Consider the following 19,101-nt stretch of genomic DNA (forward strand, 5'->3'; position numbering starts at 1 on the left):
CTGCCTTATTAAAACATGCCATCCATGAGTGCAATAAAGTCTCCAGCATTACAGAAGTCAGTAACCTAACCATGAAAGTGATGTTCTATTATTTTTGCTGTATTCCTTTGTTTAAAAGGAAGTCACTAGGTTTATCCTATGCTCAAGGTATGAATAAAATTAAGGAAGGGAACCAGCTTATAGTCTACCTACTACAGTGCTTTTGTGTATATCTATGTTGTAAGAACTCTCTAGAGACTATAAATACCTACTGGTATAATTTTGGTATTGAAAAGCAGAAATACTGTAAATTACCACTTACCAATAAAAAATCCAAATTGTTGTTTGAACTTTTAAATGTAAAAATATTTGCGTGTGTGTGTATTTTATATATATATATATATTTAATCTGATACTTATCAATTATAAGAATTTAGAGTTTTTTTCATTTTTGTAATTTTAACAGCAATGAAAACATAGAATTACCTTAAAGTTGTAGTTATTTGAAAATTGCAAGGCCAGACGTGGTGGCTCGTGCCTGTAATGCCAACATTTTGGGAGGCTGAGGTGGGTAGATCACGAGGTGGGGAGTTCGAGACCAGCCTGGCCAAAATAGTTAAACCCCATCTCTACTAAAAATACAAAAATTAGCTGGGTGTGTTGACGTGTGCCTGTGCTCCCAGCTACTTGGGAGGCTGAGGCAGGAGAATTGCTTGAACCTGGGAGGTGGAGGTTGTGGTGAGCCGAGATTGTGCCACTGCATTCCAGCCTGGGCAACAGAGTGAGACTGTGTCTTAAAAAATAAATTAAAAAAAAGTAAAAAAAAGAAAATTGCAGAGATGGATATTTGTGATTATTTATTACGCCTTTATGCATTGCTATAAAAAATCTGTGACTGGATAATTTATAAAGAAAAGAGGTTTAATTGGCTCAAGATTCTGCAGGTTGTACAAGTATGGCACTGACCTCACTTGGCTTCTGGGGAGGCCTCAGGGAGTTTTCATTCATGGCAGAAGGTGAAGTGGGGCAAGCACATCACATGATGAGAGCATGAGCAAGAGAGAGAGAGAGAGAGAGAGACAGGTTGGAGGTCCTGCCCACTCTTAAAGGACCAGATTTCACAGGAACCCACAATTACAAAGACAGCACCAAGCTATGAGGGATCTCCCTCCATGATCCAAACACCTTCTACCAGACTCCACTTTCAGCATTGGGGATAATAATTCAACAGATTTGGGCAGGCACAGATATCCAAACTATATCATTTATCATCTTATCAAAGCAACTGCAAATGGGATCAAATCTCTTTAAAATTTCATGCATAGGTTAATTAATATTACTTTAAAACTACATATATATGTGGATGTGAGAAATATTCAGGGATACATAGTTAAATGTTTGCATGTATTAAACAGAAAATAAATTCCATTGCCTATTACTATGTACCAGAAACTGTTTTATGTGTCTATCAGTAAATAAAACAGAAAAGGTCCCTGTTCTCATTTTACTTGTATCCCAGAGTGGTAATAAGACAAGTGTTGAACAAGTAAAAAGTCAATTGTAGATAGTGATATGAAGAAAGTAAAATAGTCGATGAGGGTGACAGTGGTGGGCAATGCTACTGAAGGAAGTCTGGGTATTGCAGGTCTCTGGGGATAACGGCATTTGAATGGAAATCTGAATGATAGCACTGTTAATATCTGGAGGCTGAGCTTTCTAGAGAGAGGGAAAAACAATTCCAATGATCCTTAAAGCAGAAACGCTACGAGCCTGCTTAAGGACATGAAAGAAGAGTAGTGTGGCTGTACATAGTGATAAGTAAGGGATGTGGAGTAGTCAAAATGAATTTGGAGAAGCCCCAGGGTGTACTTTATAGAGGTTATTGTAGGCTGTGTAAGTATTTTGAAATTTATTCTAATTCAAAGCGGAAGCTATTAGAAAGTTCTTAGGAGGAGAATGGCAAGAACTGGAGACAGCCTTTTAGGAAAATCTTGCTAGCAGAGAACTTGTGTTTTGAAGAGCTGTGAAGTAAAGTAGATATTTGTGAAGACAGAAAAGTCTAGAGCATTTTGTTTAATGATAGAAATGACTCAAGAGAAAACGATGTTCCAGAAGAGAGGTGGCCAACTGCAATTTTGAAGGATGCAGAAAGTAATTTCCTATTACAAGTGGAGAAGTTGGGCTTTAGAGACCCTGAAGGTCAAATCAGTCATTGAAACAAGAAGACAAGTAGAGTGGTGAGGGTGGATATGAGATATTGTTGTAAAATGATAAAATGATAAAATAACTTCTTTTTTTTGCAAGCAAGATATTAGATTTTCAATATTTCCTTATAGGTTGAGATTCTATGATTCTCAGGTGAACATTTCTTTAATTATGCATTCATTGAGATTCTATGACTTGTAAGATTAACATTCCATTATGCTATACATTTTAAAATGGAGGAATAATCTAAACCAGCCATTTGCAAATCTTAGTATACAGCTAGATGCACTATGAGAAATACGAAAATACTCTTTGGTGAATTTTTCATGCAGCAAATTTTTCATTTATTCTGAGATTATGCTCTTTTCACTACTTGTGTCTTAATGCCTTGTTTTTTATTAAATGATGATGATAAAAGACATGAGATATGTTCAAATGTCGTTAATTTGGAAAGGCTTAATAAAGCTGATGTTCATAGATAGAGGGCACAACCCTTCTTTTCTTTTTTATTTCTGAGCATCAAACATTTTTTGCCATAGTGCTTTTTTATTTGGGTTTTAAAGAAAAATAAAATTAAATATTTAGCTTCTTTTGTAGAAAATAAAACATTTTGAGATAATATAAATTAAACAGAAAATAATTACTTCATGAGAGAACAAATGAAAAGTAAAAAGTTTAGTTGACTAATTTCAGTGCTTCCATTATAACTTGGTTGTTCAGAGAGGCCATTCTAGGTTCTCATTTTTAAGCATTTAAAGCATCAGTCATTGAAGAAATAAGACAACTGTCACACTTTAGCTACCTTTTCCAGCACATGAAATTTATCTTACTACCTAAAACTGATTACTTGTCAATAATGTAATTCATCTGTGTGTCTGTTTAAAAATCAAGAAATGGAAACATGCTATCTTAAAAGGAAATGTTTTATTTTCCTTTTCTATGAAAAAAAATGCAGGGTAAGTAAATACCCTAGAAACGATTAGTATGTGTCTATGTATATTAGAATAGAAAACTATCAACTCAGGGTGTCCCATGTATTTAAAACACCCCACTAAGAAAAAAAAGACGTATGATTATTGATATAGTTTGGATTTTTGTTCCTTCTAAATGTCATGTGGAAATGAGATCCCCAACGTTGGAGGTGGGGCCTAATGGAAAGTGTTTAGGTCATGGGACAGATCCCTCATGAATGGCTTGGTGCCTTCCCTGTGGTAGTAAGTTCTCCTTCTATTAGTTCACGTGAGAGCTGGTTGTTTAAAAGAGCATGGCACCTCTCCTCTCTCTCCTGCTGCCTCTTTTCTCTCCATGTGATATCTGCTTCCCTTGCATTCCACCATGATTGGAAGCTCCCTGAGGTGTTCACCAAAAGCAGATGCTAATGCCGTGCTTCTTGTACAGTCTACAAAACTGTAAGCAAACAAACCTCTTTTCTCTATAAATTACCCAGCATCAGGTATTCCTGTACAGCAACACAAAACAGACAAAGACATTATCTTTCTACTCATTTATCTTTGCAGCTGGATACCTAATATGTGCTATGTATGTATGCATGTGTAAATGTATCCTCTCTCTCTCCTTCTGTCCCCCATATGTGTGTGCGTGTTATGTGTTTGTGTGTGTGTATATATATAATATTTTGTGTACCAGGCACCATTTTAAGCACCCTCCAAATAATAATTTTCCAAATATGTAGGTTAAAATCTATATTAACTTTATTGTAATAATTTCTGAAATTGTAATTAAGAAAATAACAATAGAAAAATGAAATATAAAATAATTGTAATGTCATGCTGGTGCTTTCACTTATAATTTACACATCACTTTTAATGATTACTGTGAGTCAAACCTCCTTTTTGGGAAAACTAATGAGATTATGCTGTAATCTCTTTAATAGTCTCCTAAATGTAAATAACATTTTCTGCAATTAAATCCAAGAATGTCCAACTACTCACTTGCATCTCAAGTCCAAACCATTTATTTATATAGTGACATCTGAAATTTTATTGCTGCTTCTCTACTTCTGTGAAAGCATTGCATTGTGACCAATGAATTAGGCTCAAGATGTCAGATTTATTTTAATTAATAATGGCCAACATTTATTGGAAATCTGTTATATCTCAGTCATTTTCCCCATCCATTATTTTAGTCAATTTTTACAACATCAAAGGTAATTACCATTATTTATTTGCTTTACTCAATTGAGAAAGTAAGACTGCAGAAGTTCAGGGACTAGGTAGAGGCATAGGGCTACCCCATGATGGAGTCAGGAGTTGAACTAGGTTCTTTTGGTTCCTAAGCCCCAAATTCATTTCAAAATAATACATGCTGCAGCTGAAGAGAAAATGGTTACTGGTATTTCAGAAAGCAAATGTTTTATGTTGTTCCCTCTTTTGGAAGTCAATAAAAACTTCTGCTAAACAGCAGTCATTGAGAACATATTATGGATAAAGATCCATGGCTTCTGAGTACTATTAAAATAAACATTTCCAACAAATTAACAAACATCTCTCAAAACCAACATATTTTTCCTTCATTATTGTTACCTATCAGATGTTTCTCAGGCTTCCTTGGGGTACATGCAGGAAGAGATTCAGATTTTTTTTATATGTCAAAGAAAATCAGTTAATTCATTTCAAAACAGGTATTGTAAAATTTATCCCAGCCATTCATAAACTTTTTAATTTCTTTTTAATTTCTATTCTAAAATTATGACTAATTATTGTATTCCAGATTTGTGTATCTTAAGTTTGATTTTCAGAGATCACGAGTAGATGATATTAAAAATAAAAAAATTATTTGTTTCTAAAAAGTCAGGAAATCATTTGATCTGACACATTTGTTTTACTAGTATTTCATTATTTAATACTGACTAGATTTCCTTTTGTTATTTTCCATCCTAACAGTATTTCTTTCAAACTTTCTCATTTTCTCCCTTCCCTTCCCTTCCCTTCCCTCCCCTCCCCTCCCCTCCCCTGCACTCCACTCCCCTTCCCTCCCCTCCCCTTCCTGTCCTTTGTCTTTCTTTCTTTCAACGTGAGTGCTACCATAAATATATATTTTGCTTACACATTTCACATTAAATTTCTTCACCTTTTCCAGCAGAGAAGGTGGCCACATGAAAAAATAGAAAGGACACCATACTGGAAACCAAAATATCTAGGTTCTACACTTGTGTTAAACAAACAGTGCAAATTAAATTATAATCTTTAGTATCTTGGCCTCCATTTGGTCATTTCCTCAATGAAATAGTAATCTGTCCTTATTTCTGGAATGGTAAGGATGAAATTGTACAAATAAAAGACAGAGAGGTGGAAATACTGGCATTTGTAAAATGTTGGAAGTGCCTATATTTTAGAGGTATTATTAAGAAAACATTTCCTATGTCTGAAATTATTCCATCTGCTTGAATCACTCTGTAGGAAATGGTATTATAACTACAAACAGTAAATTCCTCCTTGTCCTTGTCCTCTTTCATAGAATATACCTCTCTTCAACTAAAGGAAATTACTTAGAAACTACATTTTTTGTCATGGTTTTACTCAAAATCTCTTTTCAATGTAATAGACTTAACATTTAAAATTCTTTAGAAATGTACAGATTCTAGTGATTCTGGAATAAATATAAATTGCAGTAGTACTGGGATATAATTTTCCCTTTGAACACAGATATTAACAATTCTTTTTAAAATAGTGATTTTCTTCAACAATGCAAGATTTTTTTCTTTTCTTTTCAAGGAAGAAAAGTGGTAGATAAGCATAGTATAATTTTTAAGACATAATGATGTGGACCATTACTGCCAATTTCTGTGCTTAGATAGTATGGCGACACTGATCTAAAAAGTAAAACCACCTAATAAAAAATACATGAATACATTTTATAGGTTTTCTTCCTACTTTCATTAAGGTTTTAGTATATTCATATAAAGTATTGAATTTAAGCAGTTTGCATAAGATAGCATGATTCTTGTTTTTGTTTTGCATATTTTGGTTTGGTTTGGTAAAGAGATATTTAATTTTAGTAAAGTTAATAGCATCATTTTTCTTTGGAATAAGTTAGAGTCAGCCAATTTTTTATCAGTGTTATTGAGCAAGTTTTCTATACAAAGAACTGATTTAGGTGATTGAGATAAATCGGTGAACAAAACAGACAAAGATTTCTATATTTGTGGAATATACATTGGTCAGGGGAAGCAGATAAGAAAAACAAACACTAAAAAATATAAATGTCAGAACCTCGAAGGTACTGTTGATTAAAGGTTGTTTAGAGCAAAATAGGGAGATCAGGGATACCTGAAAAAGGGTGGAAAGGTGAAGATTTACACTGGCCTAAATTTCCTATTCAATCTGGCTGCTGGTAAATCAATATAATCTTCATCTATATTAGCTATGGTAACAACAGCTACTCTAACAGAAACGTCTCTAATTTCAATGATAATGTTAGCATAATTGGATTTATTTCTTACTCATGCAAATTCCAAAATATATTTCTTGGTAAATAAGAGCTTCTCTTTCAAGTAGTAATTCATTCCAAACTTCTGCCATCTTGTGCTCTGCCATCTTCAAGCCTGTGGCTTCTTAGGTTGTGAGTTCCTCTGCTTCAAGTCAGAAGCAACATATGAGTATTTCCGAGTAGGAGCATTGACAGCTACCTTGGGAGTACACATATCACTATAACTGCATTTCACTGGCTCAGACTCGCTGTAAGATGACTTCTATAGAGGCTTGAAAACTGCTCTGTATGCCTAGAAAAGAAGAGGAAAATAGCTGGGTAATCAAGTTGCCCTGTTTAAAATGATTATCACCCATCACTCCCTCTCTCTTACTTGAGCCATACTAACTTCTTTGTTGTTTTTAGTGTACTCAGATGCATTCCTGCAAGAACTTTGCATTGACAATTCTAAATGCCAGATTACTTTTCTGTAAATATATATCTACATGGCTCCCTCCCTTGCTTCATTCCTGCCATAGATCAAGGGCTACTATACTACAGAGGTCTTCCCTCACACGTTATCATTTTACTCTCTCCTTTTTCTGTTTTACTGTTTTCCAAATATGTATACACACACACACACACACATATACACACATACACACACACTTATGATACATAAATTATATAATGTGTGTGTAATACATACATAATTAACATATAGTATTTGTTTTAAATAAATAATGTGTCTCTGTTTTTATTTCTATCCAGTAATTTCTGCTTTGGAAAGTTAAATATTAGATTGAAAGGTTATATTCTGCTTAATTTGCCTGAATATGTGTATCTTCCTAGAATATGTATTTATTTTCTGTGTCCTTTACTTAGCAAAAAGCTATATGAGTTTGGATTTTTACATTATTTCATCACAGTATCACCAGCATAAAAAATAAATGTCTGTACCACATCACAGGTGCTCATTAAGTATGTGTTGAATGAATGAATGTGTGAATATCTCTATAACGAAATTTATTCTATTTGTGTTTTTATATCTATATCTCTCAATAGGCTTCCTGAAGGCAAAAAATTTATCCAACTATTTTCTCCTATACTTCCAGAATACAGCTGTTTTCCTAATATGTGGAAGGTGCATGATAAACATTGGATGAAGTGATGAAGGAATTAAAAAAAAATCACACAAGGAAAGTGATGCTGGGACAGTTGAATACATTTTCCATCACAGCAATGCATAGAAACCATGTCTTTACTCATGTTGGTCTCACTTTAAAACTCATATATTGTATTCTCTATCAGATTGTTTCCAAGCACTTACAAGTCTCTTATCTTTGTGTTGCTAAATGCAATAAGGCTTCTCTCTTCATCAGTACAATAACCATAATTTGACATTCTTACTTTATGTATAATACATTCAATTGAACAATATGTATTGAGTTATAAAGTATGAGTGTGGCATATATCCTAAATGAGGATTTGAATGAAACTAGAATATCTTTATCTTTGAAAAGAAAATGTATTCATGTAAACCAATAAGTCATTATTTTTAGCCAACAAGAGAGAATGTGCCCATATTTTATGATATTCAAAAATATGCTAGCATTTCTTATCCAGTCTCATTATTTCCTTTATGATAAGGCATTCCACTTTCATTTACTTTATTAGAGTATTTTAAATTATTGCATAACATGCCTTAGCCCACTTGTAACATAAATAGAATAGTTACATTTGATTATCACTGTTTGGGATTGGATTTTCTGGAGAATTGGAAAAACATCTGTGTCTTAATTTTTATCCCTAATTTATGTCATTTTGACCTTCACTGCACTTTTAATATCATCTTATCTTTCTAAGGTACAAAATGCTGTGACCTTTTATTACAAAAGAAAAAAATAAAGTAACTTATTTGAAATGAAATAGAGAACCTCAATTTGTTAAATTCAATACCAAGAGAGCACATATGACTCATTCAGGGCATAAGAACTTTAAATTGCCCAAGAACAGGAATCATAATATAATACTTAATACTAATGAAGAGGGTATGATTGTGACTGGCTTTTATAAGTAATTCAGGATACGTTTAGTGTAAGTTCTTGAAAATGATATCTATCTTTAGAAAAATTAGCCCTTAAATATCTAGTGTCTTAATTTTCTAAAATAAAAAAAAAATTAAACACAACCTGGAAATAATCAAGGCAGTAGACAGTCCTTTTAAGCTTTGTGGATTTGGTGTCCCTATTTCTGTAACCTAAATTATTTTAACCATTTTATACCATTGTTCTGAGACTAATTTAATATAGTCATGTGTGCTGGCTAATTTTATGTGTCAATTTGGCTGGGCTATGGTGCCTACATATATGGTTATTCTGTATGATTATGTGAGGGTGTTTTTGGATAATATTTACATTTAAATCAGGGGACTCTGAGTTAAGCAATTTGCCTTCCATAACATGGGTAGGTATCATTCATTCAGTTGGAGTCTGACCTACCCTGAGGGAGAGTATGGAATACCACTAGCAGACTATTTTTGGACTTTACCTGCAACACTGGCTTTTCCTGGTTTGCTATGGGTCTGTATATGGGTCTGTAGACTTGGAGTGCAACTCTATCTTTATTCTCCAGCCTGCCAATCTCCTTCTCCCATCAGATTTTGCATTTGCCAAGACTTCATGATTGTGTGACTCCATTCCTTAGAACAAATCTCTTTACATATTTATATACACCCTATTGATTCTGTTTCTTTTAAGAAACCTTACAAATATACCACATAAAGTATTAATTTTGAAATTTGTTAACATAATCTTTTCTCAATACTTAAATAACTGTTTGAAAAATTTTAAAAAATACATCAAACTCATCTAATGGAATCAAGCCAGGAATGGCGGCTCATGCTTATAATCCCAGTACTTTGGGAGGCTGAGGCAAGAGGATTAATTGAGGGCAGGAGTTTGCAACCAGCTTGGGCAACATAGTGAGACCTAGTCCCATTTACTAGGGAAGCTGAGGTGGGAGAATTGCTTAAGCCCAGAAGTTAGAGGCTGTAGTGAGCTTATCATGGTGCCACTGCACTCCAGACTTGGTGACAGAGCAAGACTGTGTTTCTAAATATACACATAGATGGCTATAAAAATTATTCTCTATTATCCAGAAATTAAACATTTCTTAAATTTTAATTCTTTTTCATTGTTAGTAATAGAGAGGAAGTACAGTGTTTGCTTACACTGTGCTAGGCAAAATTATAGCCACATCAACTCTTAGTTTTTTTTGTTTTTTTTTTTTTGAGACAGAGTCTCGCACTGTCGGCCAGGCTGGAGTACAGTGGCGTGATCTCTGCTCACTGCAAGCTCCACCTCCCCGGTTCATGCCATTCTCCTGCCTCAGCCTCCCGAGTAGCTGGGACTACAGGCGCCCGCCACCACGCCCGGCTAATTTTTTGTATTTTTAATAGAGACAAGGTTTCACGGTGTTAGCCAGGATGGTCTTGATCTCCTGACCTGACCTCATGATCTGCCCGCTTCGGCATCCCAAAGTGCTGGTATTACAGGCGTGAGCCACCGTGCCAGGCTGGACTCTTAGTTTTAGCTTATGTTCTCATTTCCCATCATAGGTAACCTCTTTAAAAGACAGTCGTGTTATTTAGTTGTTTCAGAACTACTGATTGTACTGCCACTATTAAAATAATTTTATAAAAACACCTTAACACCTTCTTCATACTTACAAGTTGAGGTTTAACATTTGTATTGTATATTCAATTAATGACAAAGGGTGTAATTTCTATTCAATTTAAAATGTTAATATTTTTAAATAAAATAATTATATTTGTTGTTTAACATATTTTATAGATGTAATTATAATTAGTGATTATAATCTTTTTGAGCTATTTTTTCCATACTTGTTGACTTAGAATTTTATTCTAATGTAATAAATTGTGTGCTTCCATTTATACATTTTCTTCAACAAATACATTTTTTCTTATTTTAAGCCTCTCTATGTTAAAATTTACTCTTTTTGGATTGAGTTAATATTATATTAATTATTAATATATAATTTATCATTATATAGTTAATAAAAATAATAATGTGAATGTACTTATTAAATTTGAATATATTTTTAATTTGATGGGATTTTTTCTTCAATTGGTTCATGTATCAAACTAGATTATAAAGGTTTCACTGTTATTTTACTTTATTTTAAAAAAATTCATATGGGTACAGCAATGCAAGTCAATTATTTTTGTCACCGTCTGAGTTATATACCAAAAATAACACTGTTCTATCATCAAAAATTATTTCGTGATTTTTTAGCTGAAAATTTGATTATTTTTCCTTCAATTTTCTTGAAAGGAAAGAGTTAGAAACCCCCTGCTTTATAAAGTGATTTGTTACTCACTCATTAAAGTCATTCCCTTTCTCACTACTGACACCAATATTTCAAAGTGTTACATTTTTGGCACTCCTGATTGTTTTGCATCCTGGGTAAAATCAAAATTAGGGAATGTGTTAGAGACATATCTTCCTTTTAGAATCTGAGAGAAGGAAATTTGTGACAGTCAGATGTAAAGGACACAATCACAAATGTTTTCTTAGGAGAACTAGCGTTAACAGAGAGGAGCATTGGAAGTGGATATCTCAAAAGCAATGAATGTCTCTTGGAAAATTATTACATACACCCAGTGGAACACTCACCCCATGTTGAAGATGGCAGCTTGTTGACTGAAGTACCCAAAACATCTTAACACTGCTTGTCACTGCTCAATTTGAGAAAAGAATGTGTGACTAATAAACAAATAAAATACAAATGAATAAATGAACAAAAAAACTATTTGAGATTGGTATTACGATTATCCTCATATTTCCAAAGAGGAAAATTAAATTGAAGTTGGGAATTCATCATATTTATTACTGCAGATTAGCTGCTCTAAAATGTTTTGCCATTGTTGTACAAAACATACTTGATTACGCATAAATGATGGTTCCTCTGAGACCTCATGAACGTGACTCCTGCTCTGGAGCTATTCACATAGAATCAACTCCCAATTGATTTGGATAATTAAGGTTACTAGAGGAAATTTCAAATTATAAAAATGTGGTTATTCCTGCACCCCCAGCACACTTGGTGTGAAACTATGATTTATACATGATAGCTATATAGGCAGAAATCTGTACATTGCTTCCATATATATTTTTCCGGTACACATACACACAAATCAAAAATTTTGTTTTCTTTTCTATTAAATATGATGAATACTCATAACTCACACATATATGATTACTGATGTTTATATATCTCAAAATAACATTATATACTATGCAATCATTATATAATATATACACTAAAAAGTATTATTTGAGCCATTCTCTCTACAATGTTGCATAGTATTACCATCTACGTTGTCCTCAAATATAAAATTCTGGAAAAGATTATACAATCTTCTTCCCATGAGCTTCTTTACTAATGATAGTGATTATTTATGTACTTTCTTCATGTTTCATTAAAAAATATATTGGAAAGTATGCATACCAATTCACAATAAGGCAGTTGACTTCTAGTCTTTATATGGAGTGTAATTTTGGCCCACATTACATGTGGAACATAAATTTAGAAATAAATGCAAATATAGATATGTATAGATATGTACTATGCAGGTAGATACATAGTTAGAAACATCATCATTTTGTTGTTGTTGTTGTTTAGAGACTGGGTCTCTCTCTGTCATCCAGGGTGGAGTGCAGTGGTACAATCATAACTCACTGCAGCCTCAAATTACTGGCCTCAAGCGATCCTTACACCTCAGCCTCATAAATAGCTGGGATTACAGGCATGAGCCACCATGCCTGGCTATCATCAGAATTTTTATTTTAGTGCAGGATTTTTATACTGAAAAGCAAACAGATGGTTTATGCAATATCACAGAAATTAATAAGATAGATATGAGGTTGAGGTGGAGACGAGTGAAAAACATTCAATACTGATTGTAATTTTGAATTTCTTCACCCAATATATTCACAAACAGTAACTACAGCTCTATGTGACCAAGTTTATATAGAGATCATAGGAAATATTACCACACATTTCAGAGAAGAGCAAGAATAGCAAGATAACTTTCTTAATGTAGAATTAAAAAGTAAAAACAGAAATATTTTATTCTTAATCCACACTTTAGCGTATCATTCTATTTCTTAGACTATGAACTTGAGATCCAAAATAATGGCTTTAAAAATTTTATTCCACACATATACTCAGTATGTGGTGTTTGAATGAATATATACTGGATATGGTTACTGACTTATTTGCACTATATGGTCTATATAGTATGATTTTATTAACTACATATCGATTTTATTCAGTTAATTTTTATTTAGTTTTACTTGGTGTTTCTCATAATGCTGGAGGTTTATTCAGAAACAAAATTTGATTTAAGTATTTCATTTTTGGGCTTGGTGATATCCAGTCAGTTACACATGTAAGTCATCAGACCAATTAAGTTAAATACATAATCACAGTCTATCCTGCATTATATAAATTGTTTGTTTTACAGTAATATATATTTTTTCTCTTGATCGCTACTTCAACTATACCTTCATTTCTCCTAAAAAGACAAGTTTGGTATTTTTTTTTTTCTGGTACTCATGGATGTGCTTTAGGGAGATATTAAGATTGAGTCTATAAATTTTAGTAATGAGTTTATGGTAATGAAGTTTAAAGGGTCACCTATTCTATATGTGTGTGTGCATGTGATTATATATATACATAAATACATAAACATAAAATATAAAAATATATATGTCTTTAAGTATAACTATTTACTTTATATAAATATATGATAGATGTATATATAAATATAAAAAGTATGTAATTATCTGGTAAATGCCTTCCTAACAAATATTTACTACCTGTAATCATGTTCTTCTCTTAGCGACTATAATCCTAAAATTATAGAAGTTTATTTCTCTCTGTGTTAACATAGTCTAAAACTGAGCTATCAAAGGTCAAATACTTATATGGTAGCTCTATGATCACAAAATTCAGGCATCTTTCTGTGACTGCTGTAGTATTTGACATGTAAGAATTGTGCCTCATGCTTTCAGATGCCTTTCTAAGTTCCAAATATAATGTCCACATTCCATTATTAGAAAGAGAAATATATAAATACGTGTGTAACTTCTTCGTTTAAGAATACATGTGTATAACATTTTTACTTATATTCCACACAGCAGATGGTTCTGCTTGGCCACAGTGAAGGTTTGGATATGAGGTCTTTATTCCATGTATCTCTGTGCCAAGCTAAAATGTGAAGATTTTATTAGAAGAGTTTGCATATTGGTAAAAATGATCAATTTATGGTACTGATTTATAAAAACCAAGTGATCAAAGAATTAAAAAGGAAAATATTTGATATGGATTATAATAGTAGTTTACCATATCTATAATATATAAATATCTGTAAACCTACTGGTGTGAAAATGATATTGAATAAGAAACTGTATTTTTATCTTTATTTTTCTAAATTTTTTTATTTTTAATTTTTGGGCACATAGCAGGCGTCTATATTTTTGAGGTACATGACATATTTTGATACAGGCATGAAATGCATAATAATCACATAGTGGAAAATTAGGTATCCATCCCTAAAAGAACGTCTCATTTCTGTTAGAAATAATACAATTATATTATTTTAGTTATTTAAAAATGTACAACTAAATTATTATTGACTATAATCCCCCCATTGTGCTATTAAATATTATTTCCTATTTATTCTTTCTAAGACTTTCTTTTGTACCCATTAACCAGCCCACCTCTTCCACACCCTACCTCTGCACTTTCCAGCTTTTTTTGGTAACTATTCTTCTATTCTCTTATCTTCAATTGTTTTGATTTTTGGATCTCACAAATAAGTGAGAACATGTGATGTTTCTTTCTGTGACTGGCTTATTTTACTTAACATTATGACCCCCAGTTCCATCCATGTTGTTGCAAATGACAGAATCTCATTCTTTCTTAGGGCTGAATAGTACTTTGTTGTGTATAAATCCCATATTTTCTTTATCCATTCATCTGTTGATGGACACTTAGGTTGTTTCCAAATCTTGTCTATTGTGTACAATGCTGCAACAAACACGAGAGTGCAGATATTGCTTTGATTTTTCACTTCCTTTCTTTTGGGTATATACCCAGCCGTGGGATTGCTGGATAGTATAGTGGCTCTATTTTTAGTTTTTGAGGAAACTCCAAGCTATTTTTCATAGTGGTTGCACTAATTTACTTTCCCACCAACAGTGTATAAGAGTTATTTTCTCCAGTATTTGTTATTGCTTGACTTTTGGATAAAAGCCAGTTTAACTGGGGTGAGGTAATATCTCATTGTAGTTTTGATTCACATTTCTCTGATGATCTATTATGTTGAGGACCTTTTTATGTGCCTGTTTTCCATTTGTATATCTTCTTTTGAGACATGTTTATTCAAATCTTTTGCCCATTTTTAATTGGATTATTAGATTTTTTTTCTAGAGAGTCGTTTGAGCTAGTTATATATTCTTGTTATGAATCCCTTGTCAGAAGGGTAGTTTGCAAATATTTTCTCCATTCTGTGGGTTGTCTCTTCACTTGTTGATTGTTTCCTTTGCTGTGCAGAAGCTTTTTAACTTCATGTGATACCATTTGTCCATTTTAGTATTGCTCAAGAAATTTTTGCCCAGACCAATGTCTTAAGAGATTTCCCCCAATGTTTCTTGTAGTAGCTCATAGCCTGAGGTCTTAGATTTAAGTCTTTAATTGATTGTGGTTTATTTTTTGTATATGGCAAGATATAGGAGTCTAGTTTCATTCTTTTGCGTATGAATATCCAGTTTCCCAGCACCATTTATTGAAGAGACTGTCTTTTCCCCAATGTATGTCCTTGTCAAAAATGAGTTCACTGTAGGTGTGTAGATATGTTTCTGGGTTCTCTATTCTGTTCCATTTATCTATGTGTTTGTTTTTATGCCAATATCATACTGTTTTGGTTTCTATAGCTCTGTAGTAAAATTTGAAGTCAGGTAATGTGATTCCTCCAGTGTTGTCCTTTTTGCTTAGTGTAGCTTTGGCTATCCTGGGTCTTTTACAGTTCTGTATAAATTTTAGGATTATTTTTTCTATTTCTGTGAAGAATGTCATTGGTATTTTGATAGAGATTGCATTGAATTTGTAGAATTTGTAGATAGCTTTGGATAGTATGAACTTTTTTTTTTTTTTTTTTTTTTTTTTTGAGACAGAGTCTCGCTCTGTCACCCAGGCTGGAGTGCAATGGCACAATAGTGGCTCACTGCAACCTCCGCCTCCTGGATTCAAGTGATTCTCCTACCTCAGCCTCCTGAGTAACTGGGATTACAGGTATCTATTATTATGCCTGGCTAAGTTTTGTATTTTTGTAGAGAAGGGGTTTCACCATGTTGGCCTGGCTGGTCTTGAACTCTTGACCTCAGGTGATCCACTCACCTCGGCTTCCCAAAGTGCTGGAATTACAGGAGTGAGCCACCGTGCCCAGCCAGTATGGACATTTTAACAACATTGAAACTTCAAATCCATAAACATGGAATATCTTTTAATTTTTCTGTGTCCTCTTCAATTCTTTTCATCAGTGTTTTATAATTTTCATTGTAGAAATCTCACTTCTGGCTGGGTTCAGTGGCTCATGCCTGTAATTCTGGCATTTTGAGAGGCCAAGGTGGGCAGATCACGAGATCAGGAGTTTGAGACCAGTCTGCCAACATGGTGAAACCCCATCTCTACTAAAAATACAAAAATTAGCCAGGCGTGGTAGTGTGCACCTGTAATCCCAGCTACTTTGGAGACTGAGGCAGGAGAATTGCTTAAACCCTGGAGGTGGAGGTTGCAGTGAGCCAAGATCACACCATTGCACTCCAGCCTAAGAAATTTGGTTATTTCCTAGGTGTTTATTTAATTTTTGGCTAATGTAAATGTGATTACTTTTTAAATTTATTTTTTACATTGTTCACTGTTGACATATAGAAATGCCACCAATTATTGTGTGCTAATTTTGTATACTGCAACTTTGCTAAATTTATTTATCAGTTTGAATAGTTTTTTGGAGGAATACTTAGGTTTTTCCAAATATAAGTTCCTATCCTCTGCAAAGAAGAATAATTCTTCTTCCTTTCCAATTTTGATGTTCTTTATTTATTTCTCTTGTCTGGCTGCTGTAGCAAGGACTTCTAGTACTATATTGAATGACAGTGGTGACAGTGAATATCCTGTCATGTTCCAGATCTTAGAGAAAAGGCTTTCAGTTTTCCCCTGATTCAGTAGGATACTAGCTGTAGTTTGTCATATATGGCTTTTATTATGTTGAGGTATGTTCCTTCTATCCACAGTTTTTTGAGGATTTTTATCATGAAGATGTTGACTTTTATCAAATGGCTTTCCAACATCAATTGAAATAATCATGCTGATTTTGTTCTTCATTCTGTTGATATGTTTCCCATTGATTGATTTTCATATGTTGAACCATCCTTGAATTCCTGGGATAAATGTCAGTTGGTCATGATGAATAATATTTTTAATGTATTGTTGAATTTGATTTGCTAATATTTTGTTGAGAATTTTTGCATTAAAATTCATCACAGATATTAGCGTGTGATTTTGTTTTGTATCTTTTTGTGGCTTTGATATCAGGGTAATACTGGCCTCATGAATCTGGAAGTATTTCCTCCTCTTATTTTTTTTAACAGTTTAAGTAGGATTGGTATTAGTTCTTCATTAAATATTTGGTAGAATTCAGCAGTGAAGCCATCAGGTCCCAGGCTTTTCTTTAATGGGAGACTTTCTATTACACCTTTGACCTGGTTACCTGTTACTGATCTCTTCAGGTGTTGGTTTTCTTTATGGTTCAATTTTGATTGGTTGTGTGTTTCTAGGAATTTATCCACTTATTCTAGATTTTCCAATGTATTGGCATATGGTAGCTCATAGTAGACTCTAATGATCCTTTGAATTTCTGTGGTATCAGTTGTAATGTCACCTTTTTAATCTCTAATTTTGCAAGTTCCCCTTTGGGTGTGTCTAGAAATGTCATCTGGGAGCTAGGGCCTGGAATGGGGGCCTAATGATTCTGCCCAGTGCTCTATCCTACTTTGGCAAGTAGGATGCAAGACAAAGTCCTCTTTATTCTTCACTATCATCTCCTTAAGCAGAAGAAAGGAGTCACTTTTGTTGCTGCAAGTTGCATTGCCTGGGGGGATGTATGGCTAACACACTTCCTTAGCCACCTCAGCTGGTGTCTCCCTAGGTCATGTTCCACCCTAGTTTACTGGCTGTAAGCATAGCCTAGCACTAGGAGTGGCCCAGGAATTACAGTCCTTGTGTCCTAGACTGCCTTTAAAATTTACCTAGGACCCCACAGTACTTCAGCTCATGGTGGTGTGGCTTGCTGAGAAACTCAAGTTTTGACCACTGAAAAGGGCAATACCCCTCTGGCAAGGGCTGCTCCTAATGCTTTCTTCATGTATGGATGCTGGCTGATCCTGGCAGAGATTTTTTCTTTACTATGACAGGGCAGCATAGAGTTTAATGTAAATTTCCTCAGTTGCTGTACTGTCCCTTCCAAAAGCACACAGATTATCTCTCTGCATCACTCCGCTGCTGCCATGGGGATCGGGGAGGGGTGGCATCAGTGATTCAAGACTTTCTCTTCTGCCCTCCTCAATACCTCTTTCAGTGATATAAAGTTAAAACCTGGTACTGTGATCGCTCACCTGATTTTTGGTTCCTGTGACAGTGCTTTTCTGTGTGCAGACAGTTAAGATTTGGTGTTCCAGCAGGGGAGATGAAAAGTGTAGGCTTCTATTTCACCATCTTGCTCTGCCCCCAAAAACATATTTTTAAAAGAGTAAATACATATGTCTAACTTACAACGCTTCCTGTCTTATTTCCATTGAAATGAAAAGTTCAAAAATAGTTTTTATAAATATTGGAGAGCAGGCAAATATGGCGTAATAGCTCTTGACTAAGCAGGGTTTCTTTTAAGACATAAAGTTTAGATAAATGTTGCAAAATGTAAGATAATATAGCCAATTAATAACAATTAATGTCTCCCTTGGACACCCAGCTTTAAAATTTCTCTCTTTTGTACTCTGTCCCTTTATTTCTCAAGTCAGCTGATGCTTAAGGAAAATAGAAAAGAACCTACGTGACTATCAGGGCAGGTTCCCCGATACATGTTTAGGGTTACTATATTTTCTTAGAGAAGAATTGACCTACTTATCATTAATGACCCACTTTATCTCTAATTATCTTCCTTGTTTTGAAGTCTATTTTGTCCAAAATTAATATAGTTACTCCAGCTTTTTAAATTAGTATTTGCATAGTTTATCATCCTTTATTCCTTTTCTTTGAGCTTATCTAAGTCTTTATAGTTAAAGTCAATTTATTTTTTTGACAGCATAGATTTGGGCTTGCTTTTTGTATAAAATCTGATGATAT

General features: G+C 33.7%; 1 long non-coding RNA gene across 1 annotated transcript; it reads right to left on the minus strand.

Annotated features, from left to right (window-relative positions):
• Positions 1 to 6,615: 6,615 nt before the first annotated feature.
• LINC02494 (long intergenic non-protein coding RNA 2494) lies at positions 6,616 to 18,429 on the minus strand. The gene is made up of 3 exons (NR_133943.1): positions 18,375 to 18,429; positions 11,310 to 11,371; positions 6,616 to 6,925 (listed from the first exon to the last, which is right to left on the minus strand). It is a non-coding gene; the product is annotated as a long intergenic non-protein coding RNA 2494 (long non-coding RNA).
• Positions 18,430 to 19,101: the final 672 nt, after the last annotated feature.

The sequence above is a fragment of the Homo sapiens genome, chromosome 4 (genome assembly GCF_000001405.40).
Source record: "Homo sapiens chromosome 4, GRCh38.p14 Primary Assembly".
Taxonomy (NCBI): Eukaryota; Metazoa; Chordata; class Mammalia; order Primates; family Hominidae; genus Homo; species Homo sapiens.